At 44.5% G+C, this 26976-nt stretch overlaps 4 annotated features.

The window, feature by feature from the left end:
- Window positions 3181–4122: an enhancer, noted in NCBI's record as "OCT4-NANOG-H3K4me1 hESC enhancer chr6:91123479-91124420 (GRCh37/hg19 assembly coordinates)". NCBI's record gives its function as "activates a minimal SCP1, AML or CMV promoter by ChIP-STARR-seq in primed H9 embryonic stem cells {active_cell/tissue: H9 hESC(primed)}" and the evidence as "EXISTENCE:reporter gene assay evidence [ECO:0000049][PMID:30033119]".
- Window positions 4123–5064: an enhancer, noted in NCBI's record as "NANOG-H3K4me1 hESC enhancer chr6:91122537-91123478 (GRCh37/hg19 assembly coordinates)". NCBI's record gives its function as "activates a minimal SCP1, AML or CMV promoter by ChIP-STARR-seq in primed H9 embryonic stem cells {active_cell/tissue: H9 hESC(primed)}" and the evidence as "EXISTENCE:reporter gene assay evidence [ECO:0000049][PMID:30033119]".
- Window positions 6086–6445: an enhancer, noted in NCBI's record as "active region_24835". NCBI's record gives its function as "activates an Ori minimal core promoter by ATAC-STARR-seq in GM12878 lymphoblastoid cells {active_cell/tissue: GM12878}" and the evidence as "EXISTENCE:reporter gene assay evidence [ECO:0000049][PMID:35858748]".
- Window positions 9863–10399: an enhancer, noted in NCBI's record as "OCT4-NANOG hESC enhancer chr6:91117202-91117738 (GRCh37/hg19 assembly coordinates)". NCBI's record gives its function as "activates a minimal SCP1, AML or CMV promoter by ChIP-STARR-seq in naive H9 embryonic stem cells {active_cell/tissue: H9 hESC(naive)}" and the evidence as "EXISTENCE:reporter gene assay evidence [ECO:0000049][PMID:30033119]".

Genomic DNA, 26976 nt, shown 5'->3' with positions numbered 1-26976 from the left:
TTGCAGCTTCTGTGCCAGATGTGGTGTCTTTGCTAGAGCAGATGAACACAGCTTCAGGACGTGGTGTGAGGTCACTGGTCTGGCCTGAAGGAGGATCAGAGGCAGTTTGCATTCACATGGGACAGACAACAATATAGATTTATAGTTTTGTCCAGGGCTATGTTAATTTTCCTGCTCTCTGTCACAACAGAGTCTGAAGGTACTGTTAGGTGACATGAAAGGCTGCTAGCTTTAATAACAAGACAGAGCTCGGTAGCAGGCCCAGACTTCAGCACTAGCAGCCTTGCCACTTGGGCCACATGACCAAAAAGATCTCTCAGCACTTAGAAGTGTCTGTGATGGAGAAAGACAATCTGTGGAGCCTCTGGCAAGTGCTAACAGAAAACATTTAGGGTTCTGGTGCAAGACCCTGCAGTCTACAGCAGAGAACCATAGACCATTTGAAAATCAGTTCCTGACATGCTTCTAGGCCCTGGTGGAAGCCAGACAATGCCAGGCTCAACAAGGCCTAAACTGCATGGGTCTTGAACAAGCTATTGCAAAATGAAAATGGTATATTTGGGATCAGGCTCAAGAGAATCCAGAGGGTACAAGAGCTTGGTTCGTGGGTGGAGTGGCTTTGTAAACTGTTACAAGCTGAAAATGGAATGTTTCCATACAACAGCCCAATTCAAGGTGTCTCAGAAAGAGTGGTGAGGGGAAATCTCTCTGATGAATAGATTCAGATAATGCACATCAGCATCCGTTTTGTGTGGAAAGAGAAGTGACCCAAGATAAAGCTATATGAGGACTCATGAGCAGTGGCAGATGGCTGAAGGAAAATTACAAAGCATATAATTTTCATGTTTACTCTTGATTCAGAAAAATGGTGTATGCTGGCTTCTTTATAATGTTTATATCATTAGAGAAGAGAAAAGCCCATTTCTCGGTGTCCCGAATAAGAAAAGAACAAGTTACAGTTGCATTCCATCTTTGCCAATTATTCTAGTTTATAAAAAGGGAGTTAGGACACCTTCCCTAACTAGGAAACAGTTGCAAGGTTATGTCCGCTGAATGACAGCCTTTGAGTCCACCTTTCTCAAGATGGGGCAGAACGGAGGACTGGCTCTTAACTATGCAGACTTTTGAAATACAAGTAGGAACTTCAGCAGCAGAAGCTGAAAAAATAGCATAGTTAATAGTTATTTAGATCTAATATTATCTTGGTTGGAAAACAAAAAAGACTTGCTTGAAAAATCTTTAAGTTAATTTTCATACCCTGTTTTAATTTATTTCTCACTGTTATATAAAAGAACCAACTAGTGAATTCAGGTATGCCATTGAGAAGAACACTATCCCTGCTCTTGCCAAGTGTTCCTAAGATAGACATGTAACCAGCAAAGCATCACTGCCCAGAGTGCTTGAAGAGCTCCTACAAATAAATAGGATAAAGTAAACCCCAAAGAGAAACCAAGCAAATAATTCACAGAAGATGAAAACCTGAATGGCTAAAAAACATTTAAAGAGATGCTCACCTTCAATACTAATCACAGAAATGCAAAGTAAAACAGTGGCAAAATGTTCATCATACATTACTAAGTATTGGGAAGGTTGTGAGGGAATTAGAATTCTCATTCAGTCCTGATAGAAGGGTAACCATTTTGGAGAGCAATTTAGTAGCACCCAGAAAGTTGAAGTTTGTACACCATACACAGATTAGAAATACTAAGATACAAGTGCACAAGAATAACTACACAATAATATTTTAGACATATTGTCATAGAAAAATAGTGAAGCAACCTAAATATTCATCAACTGGGGATTGAAACATAATTATGATACATTCCTAGATGGAAACTATGTAGTGGTTTACATGTGAATGAGCTAGTTCTACAAGCATCAAAATAGGATAAGTCTTGGAAACACAATATTGAATAAAAACAGCAAAATACTATTTATTTAAACATTGTAACTACCCCAAACAGCACTACAGGCAATATTGTTTGTGGATCCATACATATACCATAAAATTCAAAAGCATGAAAAAGAAATAAGAACCAACTTCAAGAGAATAGTTAGCTCTGGGGTGGAACAAAGAGAAGATTCCAATTCTATCTGTAATTTTTTCATACCTTTAAAAAATCCTACAGGGCATGATGGCATGCACCTGCAGTCCCAGTTACTCGGGAGGCTGAGGCAGGAGCATCAGTCGAGCCCAGGAGTTGGAGGTTACAGTGAGTTATGATTACACCACTGCATTCCAGCCTGGGAGACAGAGGAAGATCCTGTCTAAAATAAAAATAAAAATTAAAAAAAATCTGAAGTAAATATGGCAGAAAGCTAACATTTGTTAAATATTGACAGTGGGTAGTTTTATGTTTGAAATGTTTTGTCATTTTAAAAAAATAATCAATTCATTAAATTAAAACATATGATGCAATAAAGCAGAGGGAACACCAGGCCTGCAGCAGGGCAGCTATTCATTGTGGGCTAGGGCAGATGGGTGGAGGGACTCAGGAGAGCCAATGGGGCCCCCAGCTCAGTGTGGGTTGAGAGCTGTGGCTGTGGAAATGAGAATGGCACAGGAAGCAGGTGAGCTGTAGGGAAAGTCACCTGGCCTGGGTTGGATACGGCCAGGGTGGAGGAGGAAGGGCTTGGGCTGTCCGGGTCCAGCCAAGTCAGGGCAGGTAAAGGGGAGGGCATGTGGGCTGAGGGTCAGAATTGCCCAGCATTAGATGTTGGGGCACCCATGGGGATGCCTCCCTTCCCCCGTCTCCCCCCAGCCCCTGTGTTGCTCTCCTGCCTCCTCTTTTTCCAGCCCCCTTCCCTACACAGAAATCGTCTTTCCCTTTCTCCAGCTATCCATCATGGGCACCCCTCTTTTGTCTATATTATAGTATCTGTGTCAACATTAATTTATTTATCCTTCTGCCTCAGCCTCCTGAGTAGCTGAGACTACAGGTGCACATCACCACACCTAGCTAATTATTTTATTTAAATTTTTAAGTTAAATTAAGTTTTAAAATTTTTTGGCTTCCAATTCCCCCATCCTATTCAGCAGCTGTTGAAGGAAAAAAAGTCTTCCCTTTTAATACTTCCCTTCTAAGACTTTATTTCAGGTCTTTTCTAGTGGGCTCAGTACTTTACAGAAATGATTTCATTTAATTCTCATTTTTAAACAGTAAAGAAAAAGAAATAACCTGATGAGAGAGTTTAGCCCTGTGCTACGGGTTATCTCCATCTATAGATGTGAAACTGAGGTTCAAAAAGGTGAAGTCACTGAAATAGGGTCCACAAAATCGCCCAGTGGAAACTTAAATTCAGCCAGCTTCTAGAGCTCAACCGCGGGGCTGATGGAACCATGGGGCTACAAGGGAAGGGTTGTCCCAGACCAGAAGTCTGAAAGGGGCTCTGGAGCATAATATTTTACTCAGTGTTATAAGTTTTACGAGTCCTGTTTTCCTGTAAATTTAGGACTTTGTGACTTTTCAGTGTAAGTGCTTAGATGATTCAATTTTCTACACAAAACTGAATTTTATTTGGAAGGTGTCACATCATTCTCAAATATGAAAAACTGTATTGTGGAAGAAACATCAAACATCTAATAAACCCATTTCAGTCTCTCTCTCTCTCTCTGTCTCTCTCTCTCTGTCTCTCTCTCTTTCTCTCTCTGTCTCTCTCTCTTTCTCTCTCTGTCTCCCTCTCTCTCTCTCTGTCTCCCACACACACACACACACACACACACACACACTCGCTCACAGGCACCCACACTTCCGGATCTACTAACCTAGATCAGCAGGCTAAAGGGCTTCTCAGAGACTCCCCTCAGCATTAAGGATGCTAATTGCTACTCTAGCAGTTACTGGAAGATCAAAGGCCCGCCCACAGAGCAGAGCTGCGTTTCATCTTCCACAGACCAAACACTAATACTGCCCATCCCCCGCCAGCCTCTCCCCTCTCAAGCTGGCGAGTTGGACCAATTCCCTTTCCTCTTCCTCACATGCTCTCCCCCCGCCCCTAAAATAGCTCTGCGCCAGAAATAAACACTCAAAAATGCTTGCGGAATGAATGGAGAAAGGTAACTTCACTATCGTTGTTTCCCTTCTAATTACCACGGCTTGTCGATGGATGTGCTTGTTTGTTTCTGGTAGCCATTCAGAAACCCATCGCAGGGAATCCTCTCCAGTCCCTCTCCCAGGAGCGGGAACAGGAATTCTACAGCCTCATCATCCTTCCCTCTGGCACCAAAGGCCCTGGGCATACACCACGAATCCCCGTCCCGCACTCTGGGTCCCAGCCCTCGTGGGCTGCGTGGTCACTGGGCTTTCACTCAGGAGGGTTCCAGTTTTGCTGGAAAGCAGCTCTATGGAAAAAGCTTCCCCTTTCCTGGGGCAAGGCATTGCCCTGCTGGGGTTGGCACAATAACAGGAGGAGTGGGGGGCGGGGGGGTGCCACGCATGGCAAAGAGGAGTCGGCACAACCAAAGACGCCCGGTCACTCTGATGATGTCAACTGTCTGGCTCTGAGATGGGATAAATGAGGTGACCCTCCACACTCCAGGGACTTCAGCAAAGCTGTTCCTAGTTCCATGGAGGCGAATGAGACTGAATGGCAGGACAAGGAGCCCCTCAGTGTGGGGTGAAGAGATGAGAAGTCTCAGACAAGAGGCTTCCTGAGGAGCCTGGGTCAAGGGCACTGTGATGGGGCATTCTTGGTGGAACAGGTGTATCAGTGCCCCTCCCCCGCAGATGGATGCCCATGCACTGCAGTGGGTAGCTGGAGTCTTCAGTTAAGAAGCTGCCCAGCACAGAACTGGGTCCCCCTTCATGCCATAGTCTGCTTCCTCCCTGACCTGTGGAGAAGGAGCCTCTTTCCACTGCCATCCCAGACAGTCAGGCACAGCTCTTACAGCTCTAGTCACCAATGAAGAGCAGAGGCCTGGCCCCACATTCACACTTGGCTCCTTGTCCTGGGCTCCTGGAGTGAGCTCAGTTCTGTTCTCAGCTCAGCTCCTGCTGCCAGCTCAGAATCTCTGTGTCCTGAGGGGCCACAGGTTTCCCAGGCCCTCCCCATGATACTGAGCCTCCTCACTCTGTTCCTGGCCTACAGAGATTTCCATGTCCTCTTTCTTTCCTTCTTTCCTTTCTTCCTTTCCTTCTTCCCCCAATCCCACCTTCCTTTTTTCCTTTCCTTTCCTTTCCTTTCCTTCTTTCTTTCTCCTTTTTTAATCATGGTTTTCCTCTAAAGAAGTGTTTCTAAAACCCACGCCCACCCTTCCACATCTAGCTCAGTTCCTTGGTTCAAGGTTTTTCTCCCTGGGCCCATTATCAGTTTCCTAACAATTTGCCATTTCCCACCTCTGCTCTCTCAAATCTGTTAGGGAACGACTGCCAAGTGCAGTCTTCTCCAAAAGTGGTTCTGCTCATTGCATGTCCCTACTTAAATGCCCTTGATGACCCCCATTAAAGACATTACTATTTAAGCTGTGTTGAGGATCCCCAAGTGGAGGTATGTAAGTGAAATATCAATCCAGAGTTCTAATTTGTGCAATTTTTCTCTCTGGGCAAATGCACTTGGCCCACCAGGGTCCAAGTTGCAGAAAAGTCTTAAGAGACTGAGTACAAGATAGGAGATAAATGAACAGGTGTTGGCTTTTGGCCACCAAGCCTGAGAACCCTTAACCCAAGTGACCATTCCTAGGTGAGGTGCTGGGGGAAAAGAATGTATTCCCAGGGGTCAGAGATTCAGGATGCACAGGTTTCTTCTAGGAACAAAGGTTGCAGGATATTTGACTATAATATAGTGCAGAGTCACCTAAATTGTCTTCCATCTAAAATCCCTCAAACCTACCATCCCTTTTAGTGCCAGCTTTCTGGGCTAAAAACTGAAGGGATGAGCAGGGTGTGGTGGCACATGCTTGTAATCCAGCCACTTGGGAGGCTGAGGTGGGAGGATCACTTGAGCCCAGAAGTTTGAGTCCAACCTAGGCAACATAGTGAGTGAGACCCTGTCTCTAAAGTATATATATATATATATATATTTAAGTAAAGGGATAAGAAAGTCAAGTGAAAGATGAGAAACATCCAAGCTGCTCTCGTAGAGGTGATTGTCAGACCCCGGGCGTTCCTTTGCCGCAGTCAGCAAGAAGACAGAGTAGTCCAATTCTCAGCAGCCGGAAGGTGCCTCAGCACCACAAGCCAGGCCCCTGAGTCAGAGGAAAGACCAAGGCTGAAAGGAGAGAGAAGAATGCGTTTGCTGTAGAGTTCACCTGTGAAGCACGCCAGGGAGCCCTTATATGGAAAGGCAAGATTATAGGGAGGCGCTTTTCTAGATGTCAGTTTCATTCTAGTGACAGCTATCCCTCATTTACATATTCAGGCCGATAACCTAAGGGAAGGTAAATTACAGCTGACTCATTTGTAAATTGAACAGAGAAAGTCCCTTCTCCTTAGCCAGCACTCACATTTGGCCCCTAGCCATCAGACCAAGCATGAACTGTTCACCTCTTGGTGAACACACCCTAAACATCTCTGCCATTGCACTTTTGCTCATGCTATAGTCAGCTGGGTGCCCTCCCTTCCTCCACTTCTCTGGCCTTCATTTTAAAAATATCACCCATCCTTCAGGACCCAAGTGAAATGCTACTTTGGACATGAAGCTTTCCGTGATTGTTTCGTCCTAAATGATTTTCCTCTCCTGGGTTCACGTGGCCCTTTCAACTTGCATTTTGTTCATTTTGTTTTCCACCACATCCTACTTTGTGATGGAGCTATTTGTGTGGGTCTGAGGGCACCAGTGACTTCCAAGTGGCTAATCCCTGTCCTTATCTTTCTTGGTGTCTTAAAGGTATTTCTTTCTTTTTTTTCTTTCTTTCTTTCTTTTTTTTTTTTTTTTTTTTTTTTGAGACGGAGCCTCACTCTGTCACCCAGGCTGGAGTGCAGTGGTGTGATCTTGGCTCACTGCAACCTCTGCCACCCAGATTCAAGTGATTCTCCTGCCTCAGCCTCCCGAGCAGCAGGGATTACAGGCGCCTGCCGCCACAGCTAATTTTTGTATTTTTAGTAGAGATGGGGTTTCACCATCTTGGCCAGGCTGGCCTTGAACTCCTGACCTCATGATCCACCACCTCAGCCTCCCAAAGTGCTGGGATTACAGGCATGAGCCACTGCACCCAGCCTTAACGGTATTTCATACTCTTAAATATACTTTCCCTCTTAAAATTCTTATCACTTCGGCATCTGTATAGACATCTGGGATCTTGCCTGCCTGGCTTCTTCTCAGTTTCTTCAGGTAACAGCACCCTGATTTTCTTTTGAGGAACCATTCCTTTCCCAACTTTCAGTCTATGTGAAGTGTGGGTAGAGCTGATGTCAACCTCTAGCTCAGAGATGGGCATCTAGCCTAAGCTAGGCTAACAATAGTCACACCTGGTGTGGTTGCTGGAACCAATCGAAGAAGGACATTTCTTTACTTTGGGTAGGATGTAAACCTGAAGCCTCTGCTGGTGACCCTATCAGGCCACCACATGGGAATATCCACCTGGCAAAGAAGCCCATCCAGAAGGAGACAGAACTGAGAGATGGGGGGAGAGGCTGTTTCCCAAGGAGCTGGATGTTTGAGCTCTTGAACCCAGGCATATCTGACCAGTCCTGATTTCAGGCTATAGGAGCCAATAAATTATTCTTTTTTTGGTTACATCAATTGAAGATGGATTTCAGTAATATGCATTTGAAAGATTCCTAATTCAGCCTCTAGTATACTACACTCTTCTGCCTTTCCACCTACCTAGCTGTTCCTCCTCAATCTCCTCTGCAGACAAATCCCCCTCTCCTCAGACTTTAAAGGTCATAATCCATCAAAGACTGGTCCTAGTCTCCCTTGTTTTCCTGCTCTTTATATCTCCCTTGGCAATTCCAACCACCCATGATTTCAATCACCATCTCAAAATTCACAGCTAATTTAACCCAGGTCTCTCTAAATATGTACATGCATCTGCCGACTCAGCATGTATACTTGAATGGCTCCCCAAACAGCTCTCCTGTGTTCCTAGCATAGCAAAAAACCTGGAGTCATCTAACCTGTTCTCCAAACTTTAGCCATTAATGTAAATTAGATCATTTCTTTTCTGCCCATATCCTTCCAAAACTTTCCCAGTGGTAGTAGCAGCACAGACCCCAAGGCCCTGCTCAATGTAGTTCCTGCCCACTTCACCTCTCAGGGCTCTTCTCCTTGCTCCCTGAGCTCAGTCACTCTGGCCTCTTATTACTTCTTGGAAGGTCGTGTGCTCTCTTCCACCTGAGGGCCTTTGCACTCATTCTTCTCTTTGCCTGGAACTCCCTCTGCCATCTTCACCTAGTTCACCGCAAATCATCCTCAGATCTCAGCTAGAAGGCCCAAGAAGCCTTGCCTTACTCTTCTAGACTAGATCAGGCCACCATTACATACTCTCATAACATCCAGTAACTCCTTCATCATACTCACTATTCAGTTGATTCTTTGATTAATAGATTTGTCTCTCAGGAGACTTTGCTTCAGGAGGCAAACACCATGTCTGTTTTTCTCATTTATGTTTTCTTAGCACTTAGGCCTGCTGTATAATGGGCACCGGGCATCAGTGAATAATTGCAGAATAAAATGATGAATACTTAATGTCTCCTGCTAAGTGAATAAGCGCTTCCAAACATGTGGAAGCAGGTGGGCGTGCAGGAAGGGCGGCCTCCAAGCAGTGGGACTGCCATGAAAAAGGCCAGAGAATGGCAAAGGGAACTTCCAAGGGAAATAGCACTCCCATGGGCAGACAGAGGCCTGGGAGAGCAGCAGCATGGTAGGACTATGCCTGAATTAAGGTCACACTGATAAGGGGAAGTAGGATGAGACATGATCACAGAATGGTGTGTTTGTAGATAGATATTGACTTGGCTGGGATGTTGAGAATGGAGTGGAAAGTCCCAGGTAATGTCTTCTAATACAGATGAATTTTGAGGATAAGCATTTATAATCTAATTGAAGATCTTGTAATGTGTGTGTGATGTGTATCATATATCAAATTAAAGTAAGATGCAAGACCAGGCATGGGGGCTCATGCCTGTAATCTCGGCACTTTGGGAGGCTGAGGCAGGCAGATCATTGAGGTCAGGAGTCTGAGACCAGCCTGGCCAACATGGTGAAACCCCGTCTCTACTAAAACTACAAAAATTAGCCAGAGGTGGTGGCAGGCACCTGTAATCCTAGCGACTCCGGAGGCTGAGGCAGGAGAATTGCTTGAACTCAGGAAGCGGAGTTTGCAGTGAGCTGAGATTGCACCACTACACTTCAGCCTGGGTGACAGAGTGAGACTCCATCTCAAAAAAATAAAATAAAATAAAATAAGATGCAGTGTTAATGGGCTTGTTGTGGATAATTCTGTCAAATAACCTTCAGATGTTTGATATTCATGCTATTGTTGTGTGTTAAAACTTTAGAAGGAAATGTGAACTAGTACTCTTGGAAAATTAAGAAGGTAGGGACAGAGAAAGCATTAGGCTTTGCAAGCTACCTGTGCCAGGAGATTGTTATGTGCTATCAAACAATAGAAGCTGCCTGGACAGGGGTGTCAGGAACAAAAATAAAGGAATTTAAAATTTTTTAAATAAATATTTATTGTACACTTAATTTATGCTACTTTTGCTTTTGCTTCTTCCTAAGTCTATGATCCCATTTAACTTCTTTGTGTCTCAGTAAAACTGGGATAATAAAGTGTGTTAGGAGGATTAAACGAGCTAATAATACATTTAGGGTCTTAGGAACAGTGCCTGGTACAATATAAACAATCAAAAAGTTAGCTGATATTATTTTTAAATATTTCATCATGCCTACATCCTGGGCCCTTGTGGGAGTTCAGTCAGGCTAGTGGGAAAAATTTTAAGATGAAGTTGTACGATATAGACACAAATCTTCTTGGAATGCCAGAAGGTTTTTGCAAAAGTCTCAGGATAGGGTTATGGCTGAAAGCAGCCTAATCCTTACCTTGAATAAATAACTTCGAGTAGATGTATAGGAATGTAGAGGAGTTTATCTAAATAACTTGTTTACTCATGTGGTCCTAAAACTAACTTTTGATCATTCCGGGGCAGGATGGCTCTCTTGGTGGGGAAGGCAACCAGGTTGATTACCCTCTAATGGTGTTGACACAAAGCCTTTGTCATTTAACATGTGCTGAATAAATGCCAGCAGGGCCAGCTAGTCGCGGAGGCAGGGGTGCCACAGCTGCCACTCTTTACAGCACTCTCCTTGGAGTCTGTAAGTGGCCCAGACCCTCAGCTGGACTGACAAGCATAATATCTGTGTCAGTGTACGTTATTCATCCATTGTTGGGTCAGGGTCTGTGGGACAGACCCCCACAGGCCCTTTCTAGGAGCTGAGGCTACAGTTGTGAAGCCAACAGACAAGATCTGACTCCCACGAAGCTTCTATTCCAGTTAATGTGGAGACAAATTAGTAAGTGGTAAACAATATAATCTCAGAGAAAGATTGATGCAAAGAAGGGTGATAAGCGGAATGTTCTGGGGGCAGAGGCCACTTTTAAAAGGGCAGTTAGGAAAGGCCCCTCTGCAGGGGAGGCAGTGGGGCTGGGACCTGAGTGATGGGAGTCCTGCAGACAACCCTAGCCAGGGTGTTCCCAGCCAGATGCACAACGAGTGCAAAGGCCCTGAGGCAGAACTGAGTCAAAGTGTTAGAGGCACAAGAATGCAGTGTGGCTGGAGTGTGGGGAGAGCAGAAGTTGGTATGAGATGAGGTAATGCAATGAGATGAAGAAACCCACCAGCACCAGGCTGGACTGACCTGAGAGCAAGCCAATGTATCCTGCCACAGTTATCATCTTGACAGGGCATGCCTGCTGATAAGAGGCTACAACTCCGCAGAATGTGACCCTGGAAGTCAGCGCACTGGGCTTAGGGAAAAGACAGCAGCAGTGCCGAGGCAGAGCCTTACCACAGCCAGGCCCCAGAGGATACATGGCCTGTAGCAGGCAGGACCTCTCTGTGGGTCAATTATCTCCCCACCTATTCACAATAACAGACACCACTAGTTGCCTGATCAATGGCCATTCATTCCCTCTTTCTTCCTTGCAGTAGAAGCTTGATTTTGTTCATGGTGGCAATAGACCAGCCCAAAGCAAAACAGCATTAGTCCAACCCAATCAAAACACGCCTGCAACTTGAAGCCTGTGACAAAAGAAGTCCCCAGGACTCCAGCCCCAGGGAAGCAGATCTTCTCCTAGGTGTGAGAATCAAGACAATCTACTCCACACTCAGCCTGGGCACCAAGAGCTGAAAGCACTTCTCACTGTCTACATTAACGCGACTTTGCTTTTGCAGGACCGCTGCCCAAACTTCACAAAAAATTCCTCAACCCTTCAAAGGAAAGCATCAGCAGATCATTTCACCCTAAGTTTTTTTGTATCCCTCCTCCCGGAATCCCCACCTTCCTCTTTCCACTGATCTTACTGCTAACAAACTTCCAATTTTCAAGAAATTCTGATGTCACCTTTCTCCTCTGAGTCATTGCCAAAGCTCTGCCTAGATGGTGTTTGCTCTTCTGTACTATGGTGAGTAATACTCTCTGCTTTGCTTATTAAAGGGCTCTGGTGGTAATGTTCAGGAAGCCAGCCTTTGACAGGTCTGTCAGCAGAAACTCTGCTTAGTGTTGTTTATAAGTAAACACACCCAAGTTTTATATATGTGTGCGTATATATGTATAATATATATAAAATATATATAATGTATTATACTTTATATGTGTATAAATAAAGTATATATTTATATAACATATACAACACATATATAAAACATATATTTATATAACATATATACTTTATATATATATATATAAAAAACTAAAGATTTCAATGATGATAAGAGATTTGACATAAAGGAGTTCAGATAAATATGCATCAGCTTTGGATAGTTCTCTGATACTTGTTGAGATGCCTTTTACCAGAAAATCAGGTTATAAATCTAGTGTTACAGAAGTTCTCAAAGATGTAGGGGAGGAAAAGTGCCTTAGATCCCTAAACAATAAAGAGATTAAAAAGAGAAATGCAGCTGGATGTGGTGGCTCATGCCTATAATCCCAGCATTTTGGGAGGCTGAGGTAGGAGGTATTGCTTGAGCCCCAGAGTTTAAGACCAGCCTGGGCAACACGGGAAGACCCTATTTCTACAAAAAATTTAAAAATTAGCCAAGCATCATGGTGCCTTATGGCTGTAATCCCAGCACTTGGGGAGGCTGAGGCAGGCAGATCAGTTGAAGTCAGGAGTCAAGACCAGCCTGGCCAACAGGGTGAAACCCCGTGTCTACTAAAAATACAAAAATTAGCTGGGCATGGTGGCAGGTGCCTGTAATCCCAGCTACTCAGGAGACTGAGGCAGGGGAATCCCTTGAACCTGGAAGGCGGAGGTTGCAGTGAGCCAAGATCGCATCACTGCACTCCAGCCTGGGCAATAGAGTGAGACTCCATCTCAAAAAAAAAAAAAAATTAGCCAGGCGTGATGCATGCCTGTGCTCCCGGCTACTCCAGAGGCTGAGGCGGGAGGGTCACTTGACACTTGAGCCAGGGAGGTCGAGGCTGCAGTGAGCTGTGTTCATGCCACTGCACCTCAGCCTAGGTGACAAGGCGAGACCCTGTCAAAAAAAAAAAAAAGAGAGAGAGAAATGCATGCACATTTGTTTAAGTTTTACATGACACAGAAGTCTTCATAAGGAAATGAGGATCCAAAGAAATGGTTAAATCTGTGTATTTTTATGCTAGGTTTGATAGATAAAGAGAGGACACTTGTGGAGAAATATGATAGGGCAAAAAGGGCAGAATTTAATGTAATAAACTAGGGGACGGAGGGGACTTAGCAAGGCCTGTTTGTTCAGATTCTTCTCTGTGTCCCTGTGTCTTCAGAGATGAGGTTGTTCCTTTCCTCTGGTATAGGGAGCACATCTCTTACATGAGCGTCTTATGACCTGCTCCTAGGAAAGGTCAGAAAATCCTTCAGGGAGGAAGGGCAGGGAAGGCCAGGGAGATCTTTCTGCTTCCGCAATTTTTTTCAAATTCCTTCAGCTTAAAATATTCAATACGCAAAAGTACCATATTTGGGTGTAGCATGTTGAACCCCATCAATGTCAGATGCCACAAGTCCTTTCCAGAAAATATTTTTCTCAAAGTTTGAAAGCATCAATAACTTAGGCTCTTATCTTTCCTAAATCAGGAAAAACAACAACTACCAACAAGTAAAAGATATTACAAATTAATGGACCTTTATTTTTTCTCTGATATTAGGATCAGTAAGCATGTTAGAAACCTGATTTTTAAAAATTATTTCTACATTTGAAGTTCTAGACAATGGCTTGTTATTTATACGTAATTATTCTTTGGTTGATAATAACAAATTCATGAAATTGATTGATATTATCAATGAACAGAGTTCCACTTCCAATTGACTAGGCAGATTTTACATTTCTTTGCAAAATGAAGCAAAGTGTCACCTAATGTCACGTTAAAACAAAACATTCAAGAGTGAAGTCTTGAAATGCTTTTGCAATGCACAATGAACGCATTGTGGTGGAGTGGTTGATTATGTAAGGTGACCCAGCACAATGCTTGGAATGTGTACATGCTCATGAGTGAGAGCTTGGGGGTGGGAAGTGCCCTGCAGGGGCTATGGTTGACCCGCTGCCAGAATCCAGATACAGACCCGGGGATAAGCACTTTATGTGGGTCTTCTTATCATCAACACCTTGTGAACTAGGTACTAGTTCATGTGCGTTTCACAGAAGAAAAATTTAGGCACAGAGGAGTTAAATACTACAGTGAAGATCACACAGCTAGGAAGGGCTGGAACAAGAATTCATGCCAAGGACATCTGTCCTTGCCTCTACGTGGTAATGCCTGTTAGCGGTAGTGGCGTGGCAGTGGCAGAGAAGAATGAGAGGAAGCCAAATGAGCATGGTGTCTGCAGCCTCCGGGGAGCTGGTAGGAGACTGGGAGGCTCACGTTACACATTGCATCAAACTCTAGGCCATGCTGAAAGAGCAGAGATAAGATCCTCCCTTGTTTCCAGCTGTGAGACTTGGGCCAGACCCAGACGCTGCTGCTCTCTCCTCTAGCAGGCTCCTACTGGACACTGACTGTCAAAGAGGTCTTCTTAATAATGCAGACTAGTAACACAAGCAGGATGTCAGCTTTGAAGGGAGGCTTGCCGCGGCCCAGCTCCGCTGCTGAACACATGTGGAGCAGAGCTATCCACGATGCTAGGTGAGCGGAAGACAGCCGCCGCCAGGGGAAAGAACTGTGAATTCTGTTAGTTGTAATGAGGAAGGAAGTCCAAGGGGGCTATGAGGCTGAGGACATGGGATGTGGCAGAAGCCAAGAGACTGTGGGGAAATGTCAGAAATGGGCCACCTACTAAGACGAACTAAAGGAAAGGGCAGAATAGCAAAAAGCCGCAAGTAACTACCAGGAAGGATCATGAAGAAAACTCCAAGCAGAGGAGCAAAGATGACAAGAGGTGATTCCCTTGAGGGGAGAAAATATTTATTACCTGGACATGGAGGGGCATTGGGACAGAAAAGATTCCCCATGGTTCTGACAGGACACATTTACACAGTCATTGGGAGCATTCTTTAGCCACCATTGAAAATGTGGCTGGGTGCCTCTGCGTCCAACATCACTGGCCTCATCTCTGTAGGAACTTAAGCTACAGGATGGCCACAGCTATGATAGGTTTACTCACCACTGTGTTTCCGGGACATAGCACAGTGCCTGGGATGTGGTCCATGCTCAATAATAGTTCTTGAATAAAAGAAAGAACGAAGAGAGGAAGGGAGGGAGGGAGGGAGGAAAGAAAGGTGGAAAGAGGGAAGGAAAAAAAGGAAGAAAGGAAGGAAGGGAGGGAGGGAGAGAGGAAAAGGGGAAGGAAGGAAAAAAGGAAGAAAGGGATGGAGGGAGGGAGAAGGAAGGAAGGAAAGAAGGGAGGGAAGGAGGGAGGGAGGGAGGGCTGTGACCCAGGATGGCATGCTATACTTAGTCAGCCTAGCTGACTTTAGGAGGGCTACATCACAAATCATCTCCTCCCTCTTCCTGCCTCTCCACCTCCTGTCTCAACACACAGGCAGCAGTCCCACCAGCTCACACACACAGGGCCAAACAACCCAGGGCGTGAATGGCAAAGCTCTCAGAAAGCTCTGGTAGCCCACACCCCAGCTCCTGGGCTCCCAGGGCATGCCAGCAGGGTGCTAGGTCAGTCTCTACAGCTGCTTCGGAGTTAGCTTCTGGTCCTGGGCGGTCTTCAAAATTCAACCCAAGTGAGCTGGTTTAACACCTCCCCATAGGTTCTCAACTGCTCAATGAAGCCAACGCCGTGCCAGGAGCTTGATGGGGCTTCCCTCTCTTCTAAGAAATACTGCCCTTTCTCCCCAGGTTGAAACACTCCTGGTATTATGGTCAAGAGGAAGAGGGTGGGGCAGAGAGTGGTACCTTGTTTATCAGGCAGGATAGGCTAGTCTGCGCAACAGTATCAACCCCAAAACCTCAGTGACTGAAAAACAAGGTTTATTTCTCAGTCTCACTCCCTATTCATCACAGTTTGGCTGAAGACTCAATTCTGCATTGCTCTTTCTCTGGCACCCAGGCTAATAGAGCAACCACCACGTTCCTATGGTAGAAGGAAAAACAGGTGTGGAGGTTCTCAGGCTGATATTCAAATACTCCAGTCTGGACATAACATACATCACATCTGTGCACTGTCATTGGCTGGAATCAACACGTGGTCCCACACAGTCACAAAAGGTTCAGTAGTACAATCCTACCATGGGTAGGGAAGGCAAAGAGCTAGAAATAACGACCCCAGTCAGGAAAGGAGCCTTAGAGCTGTGACCCAATTATTCCTAAGCCCTGCTCCTCACGCACTGGTTGCCCTCCATTGAGGAATTGGCTGGTGGCCTAGCCCAGAGAAGCGGGGTTACTTACTAGTCAAATCTGATGCTGAAAAGGTGTCCTGTTTTATACTTTCTGATCAGAGGATTTCCACTTGTCCTTCAGTCGCAGCTCTCCTGAGAGGGACAGTCCTCAATGAGGATGGTGAGTGTCGGGGCAGTCCGGCGGGCCTCCCCGAAGACTCCAGCCCGGGGAGGTTAGCTTCCTCGCAACGGACCGCTGACTCCCACCAAAAGTCCAGCGAGGATAGCATTGAAATCAACAACCGAAACAATGCAGTTGGCTTGAGGATTCATTTTCTTTATTTAAAAAAATATTTTCAGCTGGGCGCGATGGCTCACGTCTGTAATCCCAGGACTTTGGGAGGCCGAGGCGGGTGGATCACGAGGTCAAGAGATCAAGACCATCCTGGCCAACATGGTGAAACCCCATCTCTACCAAAAATACAAAAATTAGCCAGGCATGCTGACATGTGCCTGTAGTCCCAGCTACTCAGGAGGCTGAGGCAGGAGAATCGCTTGAACCCAGGAGACGGAGATTGCAGTGAGCCTAGATTGTGCCACTGCACTCCAGCCGGGTGACAGAGGGAGACTCCGTCTCAAAACAAACAAACAAATGTTTTCCCCTATGTTATTTTAGGAATCAAGCAACATGGGAGGTGTTGAAGAGACAGCACAATCGGGCAGGGAGGAGGGTTGAAGAGCAGACAGGCTCGCTGGGAGAGCAGAGGACAGGGACGGGGAGAAAGGGTAGGAGGGAGAGGGCATCTGAGTGGAGACGATCAGAGGTCAACTGCTGTCCTCAAGCCCTTTTTCAAAGTCATCCCAGCTCTTTGAACGGCTCATTTGCTATGTAACAGCTGTTGATGTTTCTTTAAAAATGAATCTGAGGGTGTGTGGCTGGGCAGCAGGCACCCGCATCAAGAGGAGGACAAACAAGGTTCCTGGGCTGAGGATCCCACCCTGGGCAAAGCCTGTAGTGCAGAGAAGTGGTGGGAAACTTAGGGCTCAAAGAGGCAAACCTACGGGGAGCTGGCCATTTGCACCCACCCTTCCGATCCTAGTCAAAAGAGGGAGCAAGCTGAGGAAAAGTTAGAACTAGGCTTCTTTAAAGTAACAGATTAAGCACTATTTAATTTCTGGTCTAGAGCTCAAAGGAGTTAAACCAGGTGACTGCCACCAGATTTTCTTGATTCTGTGTTTGTTCCATAAGAAGCTATAGGTTCGATCCTGTGCAAGTTCTAGAACCTTCTGGAACCTGCAGAACCTATATGGGCAGTTGAAGTGAGTGGAGAAAGCAGGAATCTCAAGATACCTCAATCTAAAGACACCACTCCTTCCTCTCTCTTCACTGCCCTCACAAAAGCAGGTCCTCCACGCCACTGCTGCCTTCCCAGACCTCTGCACTCACACTAATGAAGCCATTTCTTTCTTGACTTCACTGTGCTCTTGGCCCAGTGACAGTGATCAGAAATAATCAGGCGCGATCAAGCCCATGCTACCCTGGACAGGGGGTAATATTTCCATCGAGGGCCTCCCTAGTGGCTTTCCCTCTCTGAGCAGCGGGGACATGGAGTGGCTGTCAAAACACCAAGGCAGGCCCAGGAAAGATGCTCATCTCCGGGGAGGAGAAGAGGTGACAGCCAGCGTGTCTTCAGCCAGGAAGGGGGATGATAGCACAGGGCAGTCCGCAGGGGCATGGCGGGCTGAGAAATCTTCCTGTGGCTGTGGAAATCTTGATAAGGTGGCAAGCGTGTTGTGCAGCGGTATCCTGAGGGCTGCCCGTCCTCCCACGCACCCATGGTGGGCAGGCAAGCTGCACGCTGTCATCGCCTAAGTCAGCAGCATTGGGCACACTTAATTACGGGGGAAGCAGAATCCAATTGCACTTTCTGTGCCAGCTCCTGACTTCACTTGCATCGTCATTTATTTTCCCTTTTTCATACCTCAGTGGAATAAATCTGAAAGATGTTTAGAGCTAAATTTTCACCAGCAGGTCTTCAGAAATGAATACAGGGATGAGGAATTTCATTCATTTATCCTTGCATTGGCTAAGCAAACATTTAATGAGTGCCTGTTGTATCCAGGTACTGTGCTTGGTGGTAGAGGGATTCTCAGATTTGTTTTCTAAGGTGAAAGAATTGGGATTTGGAGTCACTGATATTTTCCATGCTCATCACAAGGGAGAGGGGAGCTATAATATGTGGACATCATAATGAGATAAACTGGAAGTAATCAGCCTAGAAGACACTGTCTGGTTCCTGGAAGGTGAAGATTGAGATGCAGGTTCATAGGTGGGAAGCTCTGCCTTAGATCTGGGCTTTTGCGTTATTTCCATTAATGAGGCATAAGGTGGAAAGGTGGTGCCTCGCATCTGGGTCTGACAATCTTCTCAAATGCCCTAGAAGAAAGTCTTCCCTCCTATGGCCATTTCTCTTTCTCTTTTCTTTTGTTTGGAGAGCTTGTCAGAAAGAAGATTATACAGAGAAATACTGTTGATCATTGGGTCTCCTATGTCATGAAGGTAAATGATTGAGGATTTATTTTCCCTGCAGTTAGGAACCCCAAGCCAAGTCTGTAGGAGTCCTTTAAAGGATAGGGATTCAGACCCAAGTTTGTGTTTCTCCTAATGATACAAGATTGTTTTGAAAACTGACTGAAATGGATATTCCCGAACTCTTTGTCCTCCTTGCTAGAAAAGTCTACGTCTTCTTTGGCTGGTAAGACTAGGAAAGCAGCTCTCGTAGAGAGTTTGCAGATCATGAAATAACACAGCTACAGGGCTTTTCCAACTGGAGCCTAGAGGTTCCTGAGGTTCAGGGGCTTCTGGAAACATATACTTCCGACCTCTCTCCTGCTTCGCTTAACCAGAGAAGGTTCATGCTTAATATTCTTATATATATTAGTTTTCCTTTCTTAAGAGATCGCATCTAAAGAAAGGGTTTCTATACTGAGAGCTAGAGAGGAGAGAAAGAAGGAAGGTAGGAAGGCAGGAAGGCAGGAAGGAAAGAAGGAAGGTCCAAATCACATATTTAACAGAGGAGGAGACCAAGGCCCAGGAAGGCACAAGACTTACCAGGCTCATACAGCTTCCCAGAGCTAGCACTGGAGTGCAGGTGGACATCCTGCAGGGAACTTCCTGGATGCCAAGGCCTTTGAGTACTTTCACATATTTTTAGAGGGCATTTAATATGCTGAGTGTTATTTACTTTTAATTTAGCAAGTTCCAAAATGAACTTCTGTTGGGCCTCTACTGCTTTTGCTCTCTTCAATAGATTGTTGAGGGACAAAGCTCTATCTAAATGTCCCTATCTAACTGAAGAGAAAGACAATCCTGTTATGTTGAAGCTTAGAGGCTGTGATGAGCACCGCTTGTCACGCCCTTGTGGTGTCCTTGTTTGGAGAGGGGTGTTTGTAGAAGCAAGAGCATGAGAGAGGCAGTACAGTTTGCACTGATACAAACCCCCCTCCTCCACAATATATTAGAAGAAGAGAACCTCTGTGATGGGAGAGGAGGCAGAAGCTTGGACTAAGCCAACATCTATAATGAGAATGTCTCATTGAAACAAACTCTTTCCTTTTCAACACTACCTTGGTAGTCAACTTTTCCGTTGTTGCCCAGCTTTATCTTCCTGTCAGCATAAAAAATACCATCATAAGGTGAAATGTGTATGATATTCCCATAAATGCATACTGTCAGGAAGTTTCACTGCCATAAACTTGCCCTATCATTCCTCCCATTTCCTCCAGCTCTGTGCTTATATTCTGGTGCCTGGCAACCCTGTGCCTGCTGCAGTCACACACACAGGGGCAGGCAAGAGGTGAGAGCCTTGGGGAATCCCCTGCAAAAGGGCAGATCTGCCAAGGGCCGTTATCAGATGAGGGTGAGGGGTGTGAGGTGACTCAGACACTGTGAAAAGGCATTATTCATCTAGAACCCTACTTTCCTTTATGGTTCAGAAAACGTGCTCTTGAAATGCTATGTCTAAACAAAGTTCTGCAAATCAGGTCCTGTGTTACGTGGGTTGGAGAATCTTGCTACTCAAATGATTTCCTACAAAGCACCCTCTATCTACGAGACTTCATCCATTTGTTTGTTTATTTGTCCACTCAACAAATACATATTTATTCGGGACTTTGAGCAGGGCACTGGCTCAGGCATTGGGAATATGGGGGAAAATAAGATATGTCCCTGGGCTTATGAGCTTCAGATCATTACACAACTACTACAAGAGAGAAATCCAGAGGTTCTCATTGATCTTTTGCAAAATTGGATCTTCAAATGTAATTGCTTACAGCAGATTAGTAACTAAATAGAATTAGGTCCCTGGGTCAGCTTCCTCTCCTTCCTAGGCTCCTGTCAGCTGATTCTTCCAGAGCAGAATCTCCCACCTCTTCCTTCCAAAGTTGTAGTTTTAGTTTTACTTTGATCCAAGTTTTCTGTTGCTGCCTATTTGAAGTACAATGTGATCTGTTGAGCTTGGATCACAAACACATCTGGGAAAATTACTCTTTGAAGAAACAGCAGGAGATAAGAGCACCTAGTTTGAGCGAAAAGATCATTAGCAACGTCTCATTAACAAATATGTCTCTGCCTGTTTAGGGTCAGGTATCTAAAATCAGGTAGACAGAGCAATTAGCAGGAGGGAGGAGGAAAGATCAAACACTGAGGTTGATCCAACTGCTACTGCTGTTGCTGTCTGATCTCTCAGCAGCAGAAACAAACCCCAGGGCTGGATAAGATACCATGCCTGGAGGAGACCAAACAAACACTTGGTGCAAGTTGATTATATCAGATCCCGTCCACCTAGGACAAGAGCTGGGGCAGTAATTTGTCCTTATTAAGATTGATATACGTTCTGGGCCTGGATTTTACCTCCCCTGCCCACCATGCCTGGGCCAGGCCCACCATCTGAGTGCTCTCAGAGCTTCTGACTTGTTCACATCACTCATAACATTGCTTCAGACCCAGGGACCCACTCTATGGCAAGGGAGTGCAACAGTGGCTATACCTGCAGGACCCATTGTACTTTTTATATGCTGCACAAGCTGGAGGCTGCCAGCTTGAGAGTATCCAAAAACCCCCAAAAAGGCCCAGTCATCTTTCCAGATACACAGTATACTTTAGATACTTTGAACAGATGGGAAGAGTGGGTCATTTCATCATTACTTCCACTGACTGAGTTAGGGAATTCATGCTTCCTATTCCTGAAACTTTAGGCACAATCACCAGAGGCAATCGGAGCCTGACAAAAACATGGCCACCAGAAGTTCAGATCCTCAGAGGTAAATTTCAGGGTTATTCCACCAGGCAAGCAACCTAGACCAGAAAGCTGCCTTCTGCAAAGATGAATATTAGCCATGGCCTCAGGGCAACATCAAGGATGGCAGCTTGTGCCACCAGCCCACAAGCACCCCTCCTGTAAAGTTTTCCTTTTAAGAAACTGAGAGGAAAACTAAGTGAGAGTGGGGTGAGCCACCATCACCTTCTTGCAGAATCAGGGATGGGTCAGCGTGAATCTAACAGGGCACATGAGTGCATTTAGGCAGTGGAAGGAGTAGACTGCAGCAGAGGCTATCAGTGCCTTGTCCATATGCCCTCAGCGCTCACTGCTTCTGTGCACAACCACAGCCTCTGCAAACACCTGCTGCTAAGTACGTCAGCTGGACTTAGGATAATGCTTGGCCTATGCACAGGGAAGCCAGAGGTGCTGGGAAATTGATGCACCCAGGAACAGGCCTCAAGTGTAGCAAATGGTATAACTGGATAAGGGACCTGGAGAGCATTAACAGGGAAAGCTAAGTTGCCTAGTGCTCGGGAAAGGCCTCTCTGAGACCTGAAGGATGAGTAGGAGTCAGTCAGACAAAGAGCTGGAAGAAGAGTGTGAATAGGAAGACAGGTAAGATGAAGTCATGGCACACACAAGGAAAGGGCAGGAGAGTGGAGTGGGACACAGAGCAGCAAGAGGGACAGGCAGATCCCATAAAGGGTCTTGGGATTCTTGTCTCGGAATCTCAATTTTATGCTCCAACTTATGTGTTGGGAGATCACTGTGCCTGGATTATGAAGAATGGTTTTGAGGGAACAAGACTGGAGACAGGGAGACCAGCATGCCCACTTAGCATTTGGAGATATATGTCTGATGTGCAGAGGATATCACATGACCAGTGATACAGTAATTAAACCCACTGTAGAGGGAATGAGATATTCCAAAGGGAAGCCTTAAAAACAGCCCAGGCCTGAGCCCTGATGGACACAAACATTGAAGAAAAAGATAGAGGCAGAGGGGATGACAAAGAAGATCAAAGAAGAATAGCCAGAGAGGTAGATGAAAAACTAGAATAGAAAGGCACCTAGGGAGCCCTGGGGAAGAGAGTATTTGTAGAAGGCAGGCATGGTCAGCAGTATCAAATGCTGTTGAGAGGATAAGCAAGAGAAGTCTCATCCACTGCTCTTGGCAGAGCAAAATAACACAATCTTTTGGGAAAACAATTAGCCATGCACATCAGGAATCATAATCCAACTCCTGGAAATTTATTCAGAGGAAATACTGAGATTTAAGTGGAGAAAGAGATCTGTTTTTATAACCATGATGACATTATTTATAGTGGTTTTTAAAAACTTGATGGTAAAAACTTTTAATGCCTCTATAGATAATTTACTAAGTAAATTAAGACATATATCTAATGAAATATTTTGCAACCATTAAAATTGTAATTATGGCTACCATGAAGTAACATTAAAATGCATGTAAAATAACATCAAATTAAAAAATGCAAGAATCTACATAAAGAGTAAACATCCACATGGATAAAGATTGGAAGAACATGGAAAATGTAAATACTTCATATATAAGAGAGGTGGAATTGTTAATTTTAAAAATTATTCTCAGTATTTACTGTTATACTACTTACAGATAATAAATTACAATCTAGAGAAAAGAACACAGTGTAGCAACTTTATAATCAGTAGAAAAACCTAGTACAATGCCAAACAACTTGATGTCTTGTTATGATGAGAGAAAAAAAACCATAAAATTTGCCTCCTATACATAAAAATGGGAACACTGGACACTCAGGACTACCAGAGGTGGGAGGTAGGGAGGGAGACCCCGGTTGAAAAACAACATATCAGGTACTATACTCACTACATGGGTGATGGGATCATTCGTACATCAAACCTCAGAAACACACAATTTACCCAGTAAAAAACCTGCACGTATACCCCCTGAACCCAAAATAAAAGTTGAAAAAAAATTTGCCACCTATAACATGATTTTTTTGCAAGTATCTACTGCTTTCTGGACCAAAGAGCCTCAACCAACTTAACATATACTCAGTGATCATCTAAAGAGAATAAACGTCCAAATAGCCCTTAATGTGAAAACTGTTTACACTTAGAAGCTAATGAAAATAAAAGGAAATTAAGTTAAATGCAGCATAATAGTCACTGGAAATATGGGCTTCTCAAAATCATTGATTCTATGCACCCTCCCACCAGTGGGGAAAGGAGAAAGAGAACTAACATATTTGAGTACCAACCTGTGCTAAGAATGATGCTAGTCACTCACATCCATAGCTCATGCCAACCCAGGAAGCATGAGGACCTGCAGCAGCATCAGTAACATTCTCCAGGCAACAAGCATCAGAGTCTTGGAGTCTGGTCCTGCTTTATTCTCCGTTTCTCATGAAGAATTTCAGTGACCGTCTGCACAAGGGAAGCAAGTTAGACCCAACCTAGTGAAGTGATGGCTTTGTTTCATCAACTTACCTACATTTCCAAGTCAGAATTGGATAGTCACTTCTTTCTTTTATATTTAAACACTTCCTTTCTCTCATCTCAGATTCTTCATCATAGCCCTGAAATTCACTTATGCGGGAGCCTACAGCTGAATCTCTGTTGTGTAATGGTCCTTTATTCTAGTATTTAATCTTTTCATCTCACCTACATACCACAGTGTTATGGAACATCGGGGCAATCCCTTCTAATTGACTAGTAAGGAGGATTTCATTTCATCCCTTGGTAATCACATCCTGGGTTTATTCACCCTTCTAATAATTCTATTAGAATGTTTATAAGATGACGTGCTTTTAATTGTTTTCCTGGTCCCAAAGATCCAGAGAGCAAGTTTCTCTAATGGGCTTTGTAACATCCATCCTTTATTTTTATTGCTAATGGACTCTCCAGTAATATAAAATGACTGATGAGTGCAATCAGAGAAAAGCAGAAAAATCAATACCTGTCCAGACTGCATATTAGTTAAAAGCAGGTGAGAAGCTGAGGCTAGCAGACAATAGGATTTTTTCTGCCTCTAAGTATCAGAAAAGGGGGGGAGATTATCTCAGATGGGCTGTGAAGCTCTCTGCAAAGGAGACTACAGGATGTTGAAACAAGGGAGTGCTGAAATCACTTGGTTATTTCTTAGAAATCTGTGGGAACTGCTTCCAGTAGAGGGCAGTGGTGCACACACACGCTGACCCCAGGCACTACCAAATTAATGTTGTCTCTTGCGGGGTTTCTCTCCTCACCTTCTACATCCTGTAGTGAGTCTGGCACAATCGAATTGGAAAGCGCACCCTTGTTCAGACACGGTTATTGTTAGCAGAGCCTCAGCAGCTGCAGGTTCACATTTGATGAGCTAGATTCTACACAGCAGACATGCTAAACATGGTACATGTATCGTCTCATTTAGTCTTCATAACAACCTTATGATACAGGTATTACTATCAACATCATCATCCCCATTTATAGATAAGAAGAGGTTATCTTGCCCAAGAACACCCAAACAGTGGTTCATAGAGCTGAGATTGGAATTGGCTCTACCCCACAACCCAAGAGCCTAGCTACTGCTGCTGCTACTACTACTACTACTACTAGTACTGCTACTACTGCTACTACTGCTACTATTCAGTGGCAGGCCTTACTATCTGTTCCATTCATGTGTACCCTTCATTATCTTACTGTGTGAAATTTCCAAACAGTCAGACCCTAGGTTACTCATACTTCCACCCATTCATAGCTCACAAATAATTTTATATATTTGGCTGGATGCAGTGGCTCATGCCTGTAATCCCAGCACTCTGGGGGGCTGAGGCGGGTGGATCACCTGAGCTTAGGAGTTCGAGACCAGCCTGGTGAAACCCTGTCTCTACTAAAAACACAAAAATTAGTTGGGCATGGTGAGACGAGCCTGTAATCCCAGCTACTCAGGAGGCTGAGGCAAGAGAATTGCTTGAACCCGGGAGGTGGAGGTTACAGTGAGCCGAGATTGCACCGCTGCGCTCCAGCCTGGGTGACAGAGCGAGACTCCGTCTCAAAGAAAAAAAAAGAATTTTATATAAGTGCACAATAAGTAAATAAATTTGAATAATTCATCATTCAAAAGCCCTTTAGATGTCTTTTACTGTACTGTGATGTATAGAGTAAACTCTACGTGCTCCCTACTTTGTCTTCATTTGCAATCTAAGACAAGTAAATAGCAATGATAAAGATGAACCTGTTGAAGACATAGACAAATGAGAAAGAAACTTGAACAAATACCTAAATGGAGGAAATCTTCATATATATATATATATATATATATATATATATATATATAATTTTATACATGTAAATGGAGGAACTAAGTATTCATATATATATAATTTTATATATGTAAATGGAGGAAGTAAGTATTCATATATATATATATATCAAGGGCAAAAGGCTCAGATGTTTTTCTATGCCTGCTTCTTGAATCTTCCCAGTCTGCTACTCCCAGATTTCTTGAAACCTTTCATTCAAGTCCTGGTTAGTTACAACTTCTGATCATTGTCTCCAGGAGTTTCTGCCAGTGGCCACTCCCAGGGAGGGGGAACTTGGGTGGGTTTCTGCACCCAGCCTTTCCTCTGAAGTTTCCAGCCAACCACTAGTCTCCTACTGTCTCTCAGAGCTTACCCCACTCACCCCAGAATACTCAGCCTCATCCTGATTCCTATCAGAGGCAATGACACTGACTCCTGCCTTATCTGTAGTTGATTACCCTTGCTTGTTAAGACAGTATAAATATTTACATTTCAATGTGTCTACGTGTCATATCTTTTATCATCTTGATTACTAACAAGGGTTCATATCAATTATCTAATATAGTTCTATGGCCTTAGAAAATACCTTATGGTTAACTGAGGTCATTGTGGATAAAATTAGGATATATTTTTATAATTTAAAGAATTAGGCCAGGCGCAGTGGCTCACGCTTGTGATCCTAGCACTTTGGGAAGCCAAGGCAGGTGGATCACAAGGAGTTTGAGACCAGCCTGGCCAACATGGTGAAACCCCGTCTCTACCAAAAATAAAAAAATTAGCCAGGTGTGGTGGCACGTGCCTGTAGTCCCAGTTACTCGGGAGGCTAAGGCAGGAGACTGGCTTGAACCTGGGAGGCGGAGGTTGCAGTGAGCCGAGATCGCGCCACTGCACTCCAGCCTGGGTGACAGACCAAGACTCTGTCTCAAAAAAAAAAAAAAAAAGAATTAAAGAACACCATGCTGTAGTGACTCCTGGAAATAGTAATGGGTTTAAGAGTAGATAATTGAATGTTTGTTCTTCAAATTGGGGTTGACGGATGATTTCTAAGAGGCCCTAACTCTGTTCTAGGGGAATGTTTAATTTTGAGTTTTATTATATTTCATAAAAAAAGTAAGCATATTCTGGATTACAATTACCTGTCGAAGTAGAGCGCAGTGGTTAAGAGCTTGGTTCTGAAACAGGCTGCCTAAGTTTACATCCTGGCTTTGCCCCTTACTCGCTCTGTGACCTTGGAAATTCTCAGTACCTCAGTTTTCTCATGTGCATATGGAGTGACTTCATTTGCACCCCAATGCAATGAGGCGGCAATGAGGGTTACATGGATTAAAACACATAAAGCACTTGGAACAGTGTCTGGCTTATATTAAGCAGCTTATAGCTATTAGTCATTTTTATTATGAGCAAGAAATGCCATATGATTTCAGGGTTTGTGTTTGCCTGAGTATTTATAATCAAATCATTGTCAAATAAC

The sequence above is a fragment of the Homo sapiens genome, chromosome 6 (genome assembly GCF_000001405.40).
Source record: "Homo sapiens chromosome 6, GRCh38.p14 Primary Assembly".
NCBI classification, from domain to species: domain Eukaryota; kingdom Metazoa; phylum Chordata; class Mammalia; order Primates; family Hominidae; genus Homo; species Homo sapiens.
The sequence above is the reverse complement of the archived record's forward strand: the minus strand, read 5'-3'. Positions and strand labels throughout refer to the sequence as shown.